The sequence below is a fragment of the Homo sapiens genome, chromosome 2 (genome assembly GCF_000001405.40).
Source record: "Homo sapiens chromosome 2, GRCh38.p14 Primary Assembly".
NCBI lineage: Eukaryota > Metazoa > Chordata > Mammalia > Primates > Hominidae > Homo > Homo sapiens.
This window is the reverse complement of record NC_000002.12, coordinates 25,485,142-25,499,101: the sequence shown is the minus strand read 5'-3', so window position 1 is coordinate 25,499,101 and position 13,960 is coordinate 25,485,142. Positions and strand designations below refer to the sequence as shown.

The window sequence follows — 13,960 nt, the reverse complement described above, 5'->3', positions numbered from 1 at the left end:
GGGATTACAGGCACCCTGCCACCATGCCTGGCTAATTTTCCTATTTTTAGTAGAGACAGTGTTTCACCATGTTGGCTAGGCTGGTCTCAAACTCCTGACCTCAGGTGATCCACCCGCCTTGGCCTCCTAAAGTACTGGGATTACAGGAGTGAGCCACCATGCCTGACCTTGATATGTTTTCATTATAAAATTATGGTATTTCAATCTCATAATCTCAAACATTCTATAGATCTTTTTTTTTTTTTTTTTTTTTTGAGACAGGGTTTCATTCTGTTGCACAGACTGGAGTGTGATGGCATGATCATGGCTCCCTGCAGCCTCAACCTCCCAGGCTCAAGCAATCCTCCCACCTCAGCCTCCTGAATAGCTGGAACCACAAGAATGCACCACCACACCTGGCTAATTTTTGTATTTCTTTTGTAGAGATGAGGTTTCACCATGTTGCCCAGGCTGGTCTCAAACTCTTGGGCTCAAGCAGTCCACCCGCCTCAGCCTCCCAGAGTGCTCCCAGTGAGCCACTGCACTCGGTCTGTAGTTTTTTCCTGTAATTAATTTTACCCATTATTGTTCACATTGCCCTTCACATTCTGCACTGTGTCCCTCATCTATATCCTTAGAGTTTGTAGCCTTGAAAGATGATATCCCACTGTTATTTTGTTTTTATTATATTTCTGATATGAATCAGCTCTTTCATCTTCTGCTCAGTAGTCTAACACATGCACCCATTTTATTTTAGGCTCTTAGTTTGGATATCTGAGTGTGTGTAGTAACAGTCACACTAGTTGGTTTGTCTGATTTGTTGGCTTGGCTTTTCTCACTTCTTCATTTATCTAAGTAAATAATAGAATTATTTCCCGGGCACTGAGGTATTTAGTAAGGGTTTCATTTTGACTACCTCTACTTTTAGTGTAAATACTTGTGTAGTTTTTGTCATTTTGTTTTGTTTTTGTTTTATTGTGCCAGAAAATTTCCAGACCTGTGTTTGAACAGTGTAGGAAGGGGGAGAAGTGGTGACAATGAGGAGGCCCTGGGAGACTGAGGCTGTGCTGTCTGGGCAGTGCCTGCACAGACAAAGAGTTTTGTTCTAATTTGGGAGACTAGTAGAGAATTGATGATTTGGGGTAGAATGGTGACATGATGAGAGCGGTGCTTAGGAAAGTGATTTTAGCTGTGAGAAATCAGATAAGTAACAATAGAAAGGTTCCCTGGACACCCATGAACCAGTAGAAAACCTAGAATATTTAAGTAACATTAGCCAAATGAGGGCTGAAATGTGATGGTGGCAGTGGGGATAGAAACCAGGAACACAGTTTTAGGAGCTATTGACTACATGAAATAAATAAGAGGCCACAGAATGACTCTGACTGGCAGAGACAATCTCATGATGGGACTACCCTGTCAGAGACATCCATCAGAGCCTGCTCAGCAGCTCACACTGGATAGCCCTTTTGTTTCAACTGCCCTCGTATAAGCTGCCTTTATGAATTAAGGAGCTGTCTGCATCAAAGCGGTAGACAGACACCATCGTCCTATTTTTTCACCCTGCTTGCATTCCCATTAACTCCTCTTCAGCAAAACAAAAAACTCAAGCCTTACTGGTTCTCCCTACCTCCTGATAGCTACCTACCTAGACTGCTTGGCAGACACAGTTCTGTAGGCTACTTTCTTATCAAGAGTTGGCAATTAGAAGAGGCCCTTGGAGAGGAGGTGGGAGTGCTCCTTAAAGTCCTCATCGGAATGGAATTGCTGACCGGGTTCATTAGGCTATGGATTTGCAGCAAGACTTGGATTCTATTGCAAGTAGGTGTGTTTCATTTTTAAGCTTCCAATGAGCAGTACCTACACTGTGTGCTACCTCTGTCTTCCTGTCCTGTCATTTGACTGCTTTGTGGACTTGCTGGTGGAAGGCAGATGTGTGTTTGCCTTCTAATGAGTTGTCCTCTTGAGCCTCCTCTTTCCCAAAATGCTCTGTGGGGAAGACTACCTTGTAGAGAAGACCCTTCGTCATGTGATTGTTCTGTTTCCTTAGAGACAACAGCAGCGTAATGCATTAGAAGCCAGATCTGTAGAGAAAGAAGAAGGCTTTGCTACAGAGTGTGAAGGTTTAATAGTTATTCTTCGCCTTTATATTTTTGCCACCTTAAGCACTGGGCTAATGATGATTGTGTTTATTTTTGGCAAGATGCTAGAGCCCCTAGAACTTCCCAGGGAGTTTCTATTAAATGGGCAGCCCACTATTATCTTTTTTTTTTTTTTTTTGAAACAGAGTCTCACTCTGTCACCCAGGCTGGAGTGCAGTGGTGCAATCTCAGCTCATTGCAACATCGGCCTCCCGGGTTCAAGCGATTCTCCAGCCTTAGCCTCCCAAGTAGCTGGGATTACAGGCACCCACCACCATGCCTGGCTAATTTTTGTATTTTTAGTAGAGATAGGGCTTTACATGTTGGCCACGCTCGTCTTGAACTTTTGACCTCAGGTGATCCGCCTGCCTCAGCCTCCCAAAGTGCTGAGATTACAGGTGTGAGCCACTGCGCCCAGCCCCACTATATCTCTTCTTGTTTGGTAAAAATATGTGAGAGTCAGCCTGTCATCTATAGCAGTGAATTCATTTCCATTTTTGAAAACAGATTTCAGTTGATGACCATGTGAACAGGTCGGGAAATGACTTTGCATCATGCATTTTGTTGACCCCTCTATGAGCAGTAACTTGTTAAAGCATTTAAGATGCCATCCTTTCTCATTTTTCTTAAATACAGGACTTAGCATCTACATAAAGTAGGAACAACTTCCTAAGTTTAATGAACAAGGAGAACAAGGAAGGAGGGATTCATCATGGAAAGGTTTTTAAAAATAAAAAAATACATTTCTGTTGATTTGATGATCCGGTTTATAAGACTCTCGACTGCTTTTTCAACATAATGATGATAAATTGAGCAATACTGTTAAATAGTTAATTTGTTATAGTTAATAACTATTGTCTCATTTTACAATTCTGTCCCTTTCTAGAGCTAGAGAGATATTTGGCTTCCTCTCCATGTCTCTAGACACTATCTAGTGGTGAAAGTGTAAGAATGGATTTGTGGTAAACTTTTCCTTCCTGAGAAATAGTTCATTAAACAAGTCTGATACCACAAATGGCTATGCTAAATTGCTACGAATATAAATTGAGGCATATATGTCTGCTGATAGGGGAGTTTTTTATATTAACCAATTGGTTAATTAATTGTAAATGATCAGTAAACTTAAATGCACTTCCCGGAAGTCAGAAACCTCATTGTAGGTATGTAACATGATATTTATGCTACACTTACAGTACCAGATGCTTATTTTTTTAACATCATGGTTTTCCAAAAGGTGTTTTTGCTTGTTTGTTTAACTTCCTTGCTTTGGCAGATAACCATAGAACCCCGTGAGGTAACAAGAAATGGTTGGTCCATTACATAGAGATAGACAAAGAGCATGCTACTCAAGGAGATCAAGAATGATCCACACTATCCACACGAGAATCATTGCAATGAAAGGGCTTTTAGAACCTGGGCTCCTTAATATTTCACCAGAGCTGCAGCTTACCAGCATTATAGATCAATGTAATCCCTTATGTCCTCTTCATCATAATGGAATAATAAGAAAACTGGTTTTCTTTCTAGACAATATATTGTTTTCACTTAAGGGTCCACGAATAGGTCTCTAACCACAAATTTTTGAAGAGTAGTAGTAACTAAAAAGAGAGAGAGAAGGCTGGGCACAATGGCTCATGCCTGTAATCCTAGCACTTTGGGAGGCCAAAGCAGATGGATCACTTGAGCCCAGGAGTTCGAGACCAGCCTGGGCAGCATGACACAACCCCCAACTCTATGAAAAATACAGAAATTAGCTGGTGTGGTGGCATGTGCCTGTAGTCACAGCTACTTGGGAGGCCGAAGCAAGAGAATCACTTGAGCCTGGGAGGTGGAGGTTGCAGTGGGCCAAGATTGCACCGCTGCACTCCAGCCTGGGTGACAGAACGAGACCCTGACTCAAAAAAAAAAAGAGAAATACCACCTTCATTCTGACGCATTGTGCAGCAGAGATGCTGAAGTGCCTGCACCCTGAGCACTGTCATTTGACACTTTTCTTTGGAAGAAAGTTAATCTTTAAGTAAGTGAACATTTTTTTGTTGTAGATTTGTTCTGCAGCCTCCCTTTTTTTTTTTTCTGGCAACAGTGCTCTCTCCTTAGAGATCTGTTCCCCTCCTAGCGCTAACTGTGATGTTCCGGGAGGAATACCAGTCATAGCATGGGGCCTGCTGAATGCCAGAGTAGGCAAGTGACTCAGGGCAGGCCAGAGGCTTTGCTGGGGATTTTCAAATTGGGATAAAGGAAGAGGTTTTATTCTCCAGTGGTAAAGCTGTGAGATTCTGGGCAGAAACTCTTTCTTCCTAAGCATAAAAAGCTGTGGGCCATGTGTAAAGCCTGACTCAAAATGAGATCTAAGCAAAGGTAACAGTAAACGTCCTAATGACATTCCAACATCCTGGAAGCCAGCTGCACCCCTGCCTTCGTGAGGTTGGTTATGAATTTAGTTAGTATTTAGTTATGGTGCCCAATAAGTTCCTCTCCCAACCACCCCCGCACTCCCCCCTCCTCCCCCCACCCCCCTTACCACTTAAACTACTTCAAGTTAGATTTGAGGCTAGTAGTCCTGAATTGGGGCAGTGTTTCTCAAACTTGAAAATTTATTGTTCCCTGAGAACTCTAATCTGAAAAATTCATTTGGATAATACAGAGATGCCTGAAATAAAAGAGTGTTTGTGGATTTGATCTATTCAGTGGCTTTAGAAGCAGATACAAGTAGTGTCCAATACTGATTCCATCATGTGACCTTGAACCCATTATCTTCCTTGACTTTTATTTCTTTATTTGCAAAATAGAAATACCACCATGAGTAGTAGTGAGAATTCACGTAATGTTTCTGAGGGGCCTGGCTCAGTGCTGATGCATTTCACACTCAGCAAATGCTTAGGCACTGTCTTCCCCCCACAACCTCCCCAATGCTGCAAAAGTAAAGAAATGTATGCAAAATACACAGCAAATCCTGTAACTGTTAACTTCATAGGATTTTTTCATATTATTTTGTTGTACTGGTTTTTGTTTATATCAAATGAAATAATTAAGTTGTCTTTGTTACAAATAGTCTTACATGTATTTGGTTATAAATTATCATCATATAGGATTTGATCTAAATATTGTAATATGTTAAGCTAAAGCTTAAGTATCTGTTGTTGCTATGACTGATGATTATGAGGACTGATTATAAACTTCTTGTGGGCAGGGACAGTCTTCAACTTGTTTTATTTTGTCCCGAAACCCCTAACAGTGCTAGGCATGAATAGGCCGTGGATTTTTGTTTGTTTGCATACTATGGCCAATGTTTATTTAAATGGAGCTTGTAACTAGAAAGGTTTTCTAGAGCTATTGAAATTTCAGGAGCTGTTTTTCTGATAAGAGAAGTGAGAAATTGTGTAACTTTGGCCAATCTATGAAGGACATTCCAGGATAAGTAGGTGGGAAAAGAGGTGAAAGCAGGGGCTTAGAAGAAGCAAAAGAACAACAACTTGATGGAGAGAGATGGGAGACTGAAGTGGTTTGATAGAGAAAAGAATGAGGTAGTCTATAGGGTGGGTTTTACATTTGTTTTAAAGTATGGTGAAATCTGCTGCATCATTTAAAAGAAGAAAAAGGTCTGATTCAAGTGAGTAGGGAAGATAATTTCAGAAGTAACATAGGTATCTAGGATTGAGGGCAAAATAGCTGGCTACAAAATATTAATAAGAGATTAAATGTATTTAAAATGGTTACCTCCTTTGTAAAGCATTATTATGGGGAATACAAAAAAAGAAGTCGAGCAAATGAAAGCATTAGGGCATAATAAATTCTTTCCCCCTTTCACACCAATAGTAATAAACAGACACCCAAAAAATCTGCTCAAGATTCCCAAATGCATGGCTAGCAGACAGCTGTCTATGTAAAAGAGAATTGCAGGACACTGATCTTAACCTCCACAGCTAAAAGAAATGTTCTGTGGGAAAGAGCTAATGCGCCAATAAATTTAAAAGTGAAGGGCAGGGGTAAGTACGTGGCTGTCTGCATGACTTCCTACAGAAGAGGCTCTGTCAAAGGGCCTGGGGAAAAGGGACAGCTCTGACAGGTGCCCCAAATCTCACTTGTCCTCCAGGCTTCAGCTGACTTTATTCATTTCCTCCTTTTTTTTTTGGAGACAAGGTCTCACTTTGTCACCCACTCTGGAGTGCAGTGATGTGATGTCGGCTCACTACAGCCTCAGTCTCCCAGGCTCAAGCAGTCCTCCCCTGAGCAGCCTCCTGAGTACCTGGGACTACAGGTGTGCACCACCAAAACCAGCTAATGTTTGATTTTTAGTAGTGATGGAGTCAGGCTGGTCTCAAATTCCTGGATGCAAGCGATTCTCCTGCCTCGGCCTCCCAAAGTGGTGGGATTACAGGTGTGAGCCACTGCACCCAGCCTACTCCTTCATCTTTAAAACTTTGCAATTTTAAGTAGAAATTTTGTCTACACGACATCAGTACTGTACTTTCACATCCTTGGTTAGAGACTCCTATCCAGACATTGTTTACCCCTGGATCTAAGTTAATTCAGAAAGCCAAAATGAGTCATAACACTCAGTGTTGATTTTAAGCCCATTGTTAAACTTTTTTTTTAGTCAACAGTCTGGTTTATATAATAGATAATTTGCTCATTAAATGTATGTATTTTGCTAGGCTGAGATTAGGAACCTAAAAGATCTTTGAAATGAAGATTAGATTTTAAAGTTAATCCTGTTAAGCTCTCAAGCCAGATGGTTTACGTTCAGAGAGCCATTTAGGACACAGAGTTCTAATAATATGATGGGGAAAGGGTAAATCACTCCAAAACTATACTTTGTAACTATTACTATCTTATCTTCCTATAGAAACAACAGGAACTATGATCTAACGTCATGCTGTTGGCTTTTTTTATATAGAGTAAATATCCTTAAGTGTTTTCCTGAAAGTGCAGCCGTGAAAGATAGTAGACAGTACACTCGAATGACTGAGCACACACACTCAGAGCCACACTGCCTCGGTTCAAATCCTCTTGCTCCCACGATTTGGCTCTGTGACCTCAAAAACATTACTTTTCTCCATGCCTCAGTTTTTTTTTTTTCCATCTGTAAAATAAAGATAATGGTATCTACTTCATTGGCTTGGTGTAAGGTTAAATGAGTGAATCCATGGAAAATGTTCAAACTTAGTCTGCCGTATAGGAAGCACTCAATAAATATTGCTATTATTAGTAAAGACACTCTCCACTCTGCTGATTCTATTCCTAAGTCATAGATGGTAGAAGAAAAAAAATAACAGACCAAGCAGTAGACATTAATAGAGTTAAGTAGAAAAGAATATACCACTGTTCCCAGTGAAGGGGAAAAAGAGTCTGCTATCGCTGCAGACGCTACAAATATATCCACCAAATATAACAGCGAATAATGTCATCCCATTTTTGGAGAATAGTCTCACCACATCTAAATATAATAGATTACTTCTTACCCACTCACCATTCCTGTTATATTCCGCAACATGGTGCTGACTCATGGGCAACAAATATTTACGGAGTACCTACTCTGTGCCTCATACTATGCCAGACACTTGAAATATAATAGTAAAAATATCACAGATTTCTTACAGTGTAGTAGAGGAGATCATCTAGACTGGTCTAAGATGTTTTCTTTATTCTCATTTTTGAGGAGTGGTGGTGGTAATGATGTTGGGAAGTTGTGGAACTTTGGATCTACTCAAACCATTTCACAGGTTTTCTACTGAAAGTCTCAAACTTCTACACCATAGTTTCTCCTCCCTCGTTCCCTCCCCCTGCCTCTTCCTCCCTCTCTCTCTCCCTCTGTGTGTGTGTCTGTGTGTGTGTGTGTGTGTGCTCATATAACACTTCCCTTCTCAGTTTGCTTTCTTAATAACAAAAATAATATAGGTTCACTTTAGAAATTTGATTCTTTTTTTTTTTACATTAAGCATCTTTTTCTCTTAGAATCAGGAAAAATTAAACTGAAAAGGTTGGAGAAGTGTTGGAAAGTATACTTTCCCATAATTCCCATAATTCCCATAATTCCACTTATCTTAACATTTGACCATATTGCCTCCAGATGTTTCATTTTATGCTTATGATGTAGTTGAGTGTGCTGTGTGTATGTATAAATAATTGTATACGACTATTGTGAAGACAGCATAAATAATGTATTTAAAGCTCTAAAGTGTCTGATAGATATCAAACACTCAGTAGTTGTTAGCTATCATCATCATCTTGCCCTTCTTTGTTATCTTCTATATGCTGAGCATTTTTCCAAGTAATCAAAAAGTCTTCATAAGCATTATTATTTAATGACAGCATAATATCCTATAATTATGGATATACCATGGTTTACTTTTCCTTTCCTTATATTTGAACACTTAGGATAATTTCAAAATTATCCTACCATAAATAACACTTCCTGAATATTTGTTAATATAAATCTCTTTGTGCATTTCTAATTAGTCTTTTGAATTGATTCCTAGAAGGAGAACTACTGAGCCACAGTGTTTGAATGTTTTCTAAGATCTTTGATGGACATATTGCCAAATCACTTTCTAGAAATTTGGCTTAACTTTTTACTTTCACTCTTGACTAGTAGTAAATTAAGGACCTGTGTCAGAAAACCGTCTCCACTCTTAAGGATTGCCTTTTTAAAAAGATCATTATTTTTCCCAGAGAAAGTGGTCTATAATTCCCCCTGCCCGCCACCGAGACAGGATCTCACTCTGTCACCCAGGCTGAAGTGCAGTGGTTTGATCTTGGCTGACTACAACCTTTAACTCCTAGGCTCAAGCAGTCCTCTCACCTCAGCCTCCTGAGTAGCTGAGACCATAGGCATATGCCACCACACCTAGCTGATTTTTTAATTTTTTGTAGAGATGGGGTCTTGCCATGTTGCTCAGGCTGGTCTCGAACTCCTGGGCTCAAGCGATCCTCCTGCCTTGGCTTCCCAGAGTGCTGGGATTACAGGCATGAGCCACTGTGCACAGCCTGTAATTTTTAATTAAATTTCTTTTGAGTCATTTGTATTTCTTCTTTTTAAACATGTATTTTTACTTTACCCATTTATCTAATTGGAATCCCTATAGTTTTCTTTTAAGTTTGTGTGAATCCTTTATGTATTAAGGCATTTAATTTTTGCTGTGTCACATTTGTTCAGGTAGTTCCTCAAATTTTTTTTTCTTTTCTGATGGTTTTAACAATTCAAATTAACTGGTGTTTTTCTAATTTTTCCATTGCTTTTGAGCTAAGAAAATCCTCTCTATTCATAGACCTATATTTTTTCTCTTAATTTATATAAACATTTATATTTAACTCTTCTTTTTTCTTTAAGAGACGGAGTCTTGGCTGTGTTACCCAGGCTGGCCTCAAAATACTGGGCTCGAATGATCCTCCCACCTCAGCCTCCTGCATAACTGGGACTGTAGGTGGGTTCCATCATGCCTGGCTTATATTTAACTCTTTAACACCCTAGAAATATGTTTTTCTTTATGGGATGAGATAATCTCAGTATTTTCCCATGCATATAGCAGTTTTTCTTACTTCTATTAAGTATTTGCTACATTATAATTATTTTTTCTAAATTTTTCTTCTTTGTAAGACTTCAGTTTTCATCTTTTTAATTTTTATTCCCAGAAGCTAGCACAGTGCCTGTCACATTATAGGCAAATATCTGATAAATGAAAGAAATATACAGTTGTATATAATCTGTCCTGAAACATTTTTAAAGGTACAAGTTATTTATCTATTCCTACAGATGATTTTAAAACCCTTAAGAGAGATTTTGTAGGAATTTTAATTTCTAGTTAGTCTGTATTTCAGAGCATCACCAGAATGAACTGGAGTGGTCTGGCCGCAAGGGAACTGCATGAAAATTATTTCTACCAGTAAGCTCAATTTGTGCTTTGTAATAGGAGATGTGTCTCCCCAATAACCAGAACCTCTGTTCCTGTTATCTAAGCCACCCTCTTACTGCATAGGTCCCCAAACCTCTCCTACCCCGCCTAAAAACAATAAATATAAATGTACGTTTTCGGCCAGACTTGGTGGCTCACGCCTGTAACCCCAGCACTTTGGGAGGCTGTGGCAGATGGATCACCTGAGGTCAGGAGTTCAAGACCAGCCTGGCCAACATGGCGAAACCCCGTCTCTACAAAAAATACAAAAATTAGCCGGGCATGATGGCGGATGCCTGTAATCCCAGCTACTCGGGAGGGTGAGGGGGGAATCGCTTGAACCTGGGAGGTGGAGGTTACAGTGAGCTGAGATTGCCCCATTGCACTTCAGCCTGGGCAACAGAGTGAGAGACTCCATCTCAAAACAATAAATAAATAAGTAAATGCACGTTTTTAGTGTTCAGAATACTGAAATGACCAGGTACTGTTTAATGACACTCATGTATTTTCAAACTTGACATTTCATCTGAGTTCTGTTCTCCTATTTTCAACTGCTTTCTAGACATCCACTTACCTGTACTTCAATGGTATCAATGGTACTTCAAACCCAACAATTTCAAAACTCAAATCCTATTCACTCTTATCTTCCTGCTCATTCTGTCTACCCATCCCTCCTCCTTTCCAACCTCAGATCTTGTTTCCTACTCTGTGTTTTCTAGTTTGGATATTTTACCACCCAGTAGTCAAGGTAAAAATCTCTTATTCTTTATTCCCTAACCCTGCGTACTTAATCAGTCACCCTCTCTTACTGGTTTTGTCTTCACAATAGCTTTCCTTTTCTCTTGCCCCCATCTTGACTACCACTGTCCATCTTCATAGTCACTGATCTGGGCAACTGCCATAACCTCTTACCTGGCCTCCTAGCTTCCATTCCCCTGCTTCCCAATATATCCTACATGATATATTTATATATTATGTGGGGCAAAGATTCCCCTCACCCCTAGAAGTTCAGAGTCACTGAACTGAGGGTAGGGCTTGGGTATCTTATCTTACAGAAAGCTTTTCAGAGGATTCCCATGCACGCTTTTGATAAAAGACCAGCATCTGCAAGATTCTGGAGTGAGCTTTTAAAATGATGTGATGGTCACATTGGTGTTTGTCTTACATTCAGTGCTTCTCCTGCTGCCTGCAATATAAAGTTCAGATCTCTCACCTTGTGCTAGGACAAGCTCCTTTCACATCCTGCCTCTCCTCTACCTTTCCACATGCGTTTCCAGCTACTCCCTTTCAGATGCCTTTGGTCAAACAAATAAATTAGACCCAGTTTCTCATGTATTTTTGGATTTCTATGCCATTTTACATACTATTTCTATCTAGGGTTCTCTTAATTCTTTTTCTGTATCTGGAAAACTGTTCTCAACGATGCCTCCTCTCTGAGGCCTTCCATGACGATTCTTGCCCCTTGTTCCTCCAGGCAGAAGTACCTCCAGGCAGAAGTACCTGATCTTCATCTGTGACTCTCAGCACTTGGTCTGTCAGTTGTCTCTCAGTATCCCTGGGGGTTGGTTCCAGGAGCCCCCACAGATATGGAAACCCAAGGATGCTCAAGTCCCTGAAATAAAACAGAATAGTATTTGCATATAACCTATGCGCATACTCCCATATACTTTAAGTCCTCTCTAGAGTACTTGTAATACCTAACACAATGCCTACACATCACGTCCTTTGCAAGGATTCAGTGTATTACTCAGCATATGGTGAATTCAAGTTTTACTTTTTGGAACTTTGTGGAACTTTTTCTCTGAATAGTTTCCATCTGCAGTTGGTTGAACCCACAGACATGGAGGACTGACCATACTTCATTGCTGCACTCATTACATGGCATTGTGATGATTTGCTTGCATGTTTGTCTCCATCTATATACAGTTAGGTCATTGAAATAAAGATAATCTTTTATCAGTAGGTACCCAGTAACAGTGATGCTTTCCCTTTAATTAAGAAGTACCAAATTCTTGCCAAGTCTTTAAAAACTACCTCTACTGACTACCAGATACTTTCTACCTATATCATCATCTTATTCTATCCCATCGAAAAAATGGTATATCTTATTAACAAAGAAGGAACCTCCCAAATTTCTGGACCAAGCGATAGATGGTGGCCATTTCAGTATCATGAAACTCAATAGTGCCTATACCTTGCTGAGATCTGTACCAAAGGAAGATACAGAACATCTGGTGCTCAAGGTATTCAACTGGTTTTACATGTTAAAGATCAACAAAACCAATCTAATGTTGTGCCAATTCTGTTTTTTTAAGTTTCTATAATTTGTAGCATTAATGTCTGCTTTACACCTGGAAATACTCTTTTCAGTTATGTCTTACAAGAACCATGAAGGTTTTGTATGTTTGTTTGAGCCAGAAGTCATTTTTAGTGTATTACCTTTTTTTTTTTTTTTTTGAGACAGGGTCTTGCTCTGTCGCCCAAGCTGGAGTGCAGTGGTGCAATCACAGCTCACTGCAGCCTTAACCTCCTAGGCTCAAATGATCCTCCCACCTCTGCCTCCTGAGTAGCTAGGACTACAGCACGTGCAACCATGCCAGACTCATTTTTATTTTTTATTTTTTTGAGACAGGATCTCACTTGTCACCCAGCCTGAAGTGCAGTGGCACAATGTCAGTTTCACTGAAACCTCAACCTCCCTGTGCTCAGGTGATCCTCCCACCCCAGCCTCCTGAGTAGCTGGGACTGCGAGCATGCGCCGCCACACCCAGCTAATCTTTGTATTTTTTTGTAGAGACGGGGTTTCGCTATGTTGCCCAGGCTGGTCTCAAACTCCCAGGCTCAAGCCATCTGCCTGCCTTGGCCTCCCAAAGTGCTAGTTTTATAGACGTGAGCCACTGTGCCCAGCCAGCAGGCTAATCTTTTTTATTTTTTTATTTTATTTTATTTTATTTTATTTTATTTTTTTGAGATGGAGTCTTGCTCTATCACCCAGGCTAGAGTGCAGTGGCGTGATCTTGGCTCACTGCAACCTCCGCCTCCCGGGTTCAAGCTATTCTCCTGCCTCAACCTCCCAAGTAGCTGGGATTACAGGCACCCGCCACCACACCCAGCTAATTTTTATATTTTTAGTAGAGATGGGGTTTCAACATCTTGGCCAGGCTGGTCTTGAACTCCTGACCTTGTGATCCACCCACCTCAGCTTCCCAAAGTGCTGAGATTACAGGCATGAGCCACTGCGCCTGGCCAGCAGGCTAATTTTTTTTTTTTAATTTTTGTGAAGACAGGGTCTCACTACGTTCCCCAGGCCATGTTATGCCTTCTAAGAATGCATCTGAGCTGTTGGCTTTCATGGTGAGTCGTGGCTCTAGTGAAGGTTCTGTAGTAAAGACCTCCTTTAAGTTTGCAAGTGCTTCTTTCATTTTAAACTGCAGACATATACCTGTCTTTCTAGCAAAGCATGTTAGGAGTTCAGAAAGGCTATGACATTTGGGGGTCAGTTATGATTAGTTTATAGTTTACAATATAGCCATTACTGTCTGGTTTTGAATATTAGAGAAGAAGCTTTGATATTTGTGCTATAATGGTTGAACATGATATATACCAAGAGATATTGATTATAAAGATGTTTGTGGTATCAGACCAAATTGTTACAAATCATGAAATTTTATTGCATGGATTTATGTTCTAGGAATTTGAATTTTTTATTCTCATTTTTCCTCTGAGAATACCAAAAAGGAAATTGAATGCAGTGATATCTTTAATATTGAAATATAGCAGGTGGCCGGGAATGGTGGCTCACACCTGTAATCCTAGCATTTTGGGAGGTGGAGGTGGGAGGATACCTGAACTCAGGAGTTCAAGACCAGCCTAGGCAACATAGTGAGACCTTGTCTCTATTATTTATTAAAAATTAAAAAATATATATATAGCAGGTAACTGTATTAG

General features: G+C 40.2%; 1 protein-coding gene across 30 annotated transcripts in view, besides 2 other annotated features; it reads left to right on the top strand.

Moving 5' to 3' along the window:
- DTNB (dystrobrevin beta) overlaps positions 1 to 13,960 on the top strand; it is a 296,335-nt gene that overhangs the window by 174,476 nt on the left and 107,899 nt on the right. The window lies entirely within an intron of this gene.
- Positions 1,234 to 1,343: an enhancer, noted in NCBI's record as "active region_15459". NCBI's record gives its function as "activates an Ori minimal core promoter by ATAC-STARR-seq in GM12878 lymphoblastoid cells {active_cell/tissue: GM12878}" and the evidence as "EXISTENCE:reporter gene assay evidence [ECO:0000049][PMID:35858748]".
- Positions 1,364 to 1,443: an enhancer, noted in NCBI's record as "active region_15458". NCBI's record gives its function as "activates an Ori minimal core promoter by ATAC-STARR-seq in GM12878 lymphoblastoid cells {active_cell/tissue: GM12878}" and the evidence as "EXISTENCE:reporter gene assay evidence [ECO:0000049][PMID:35858748]".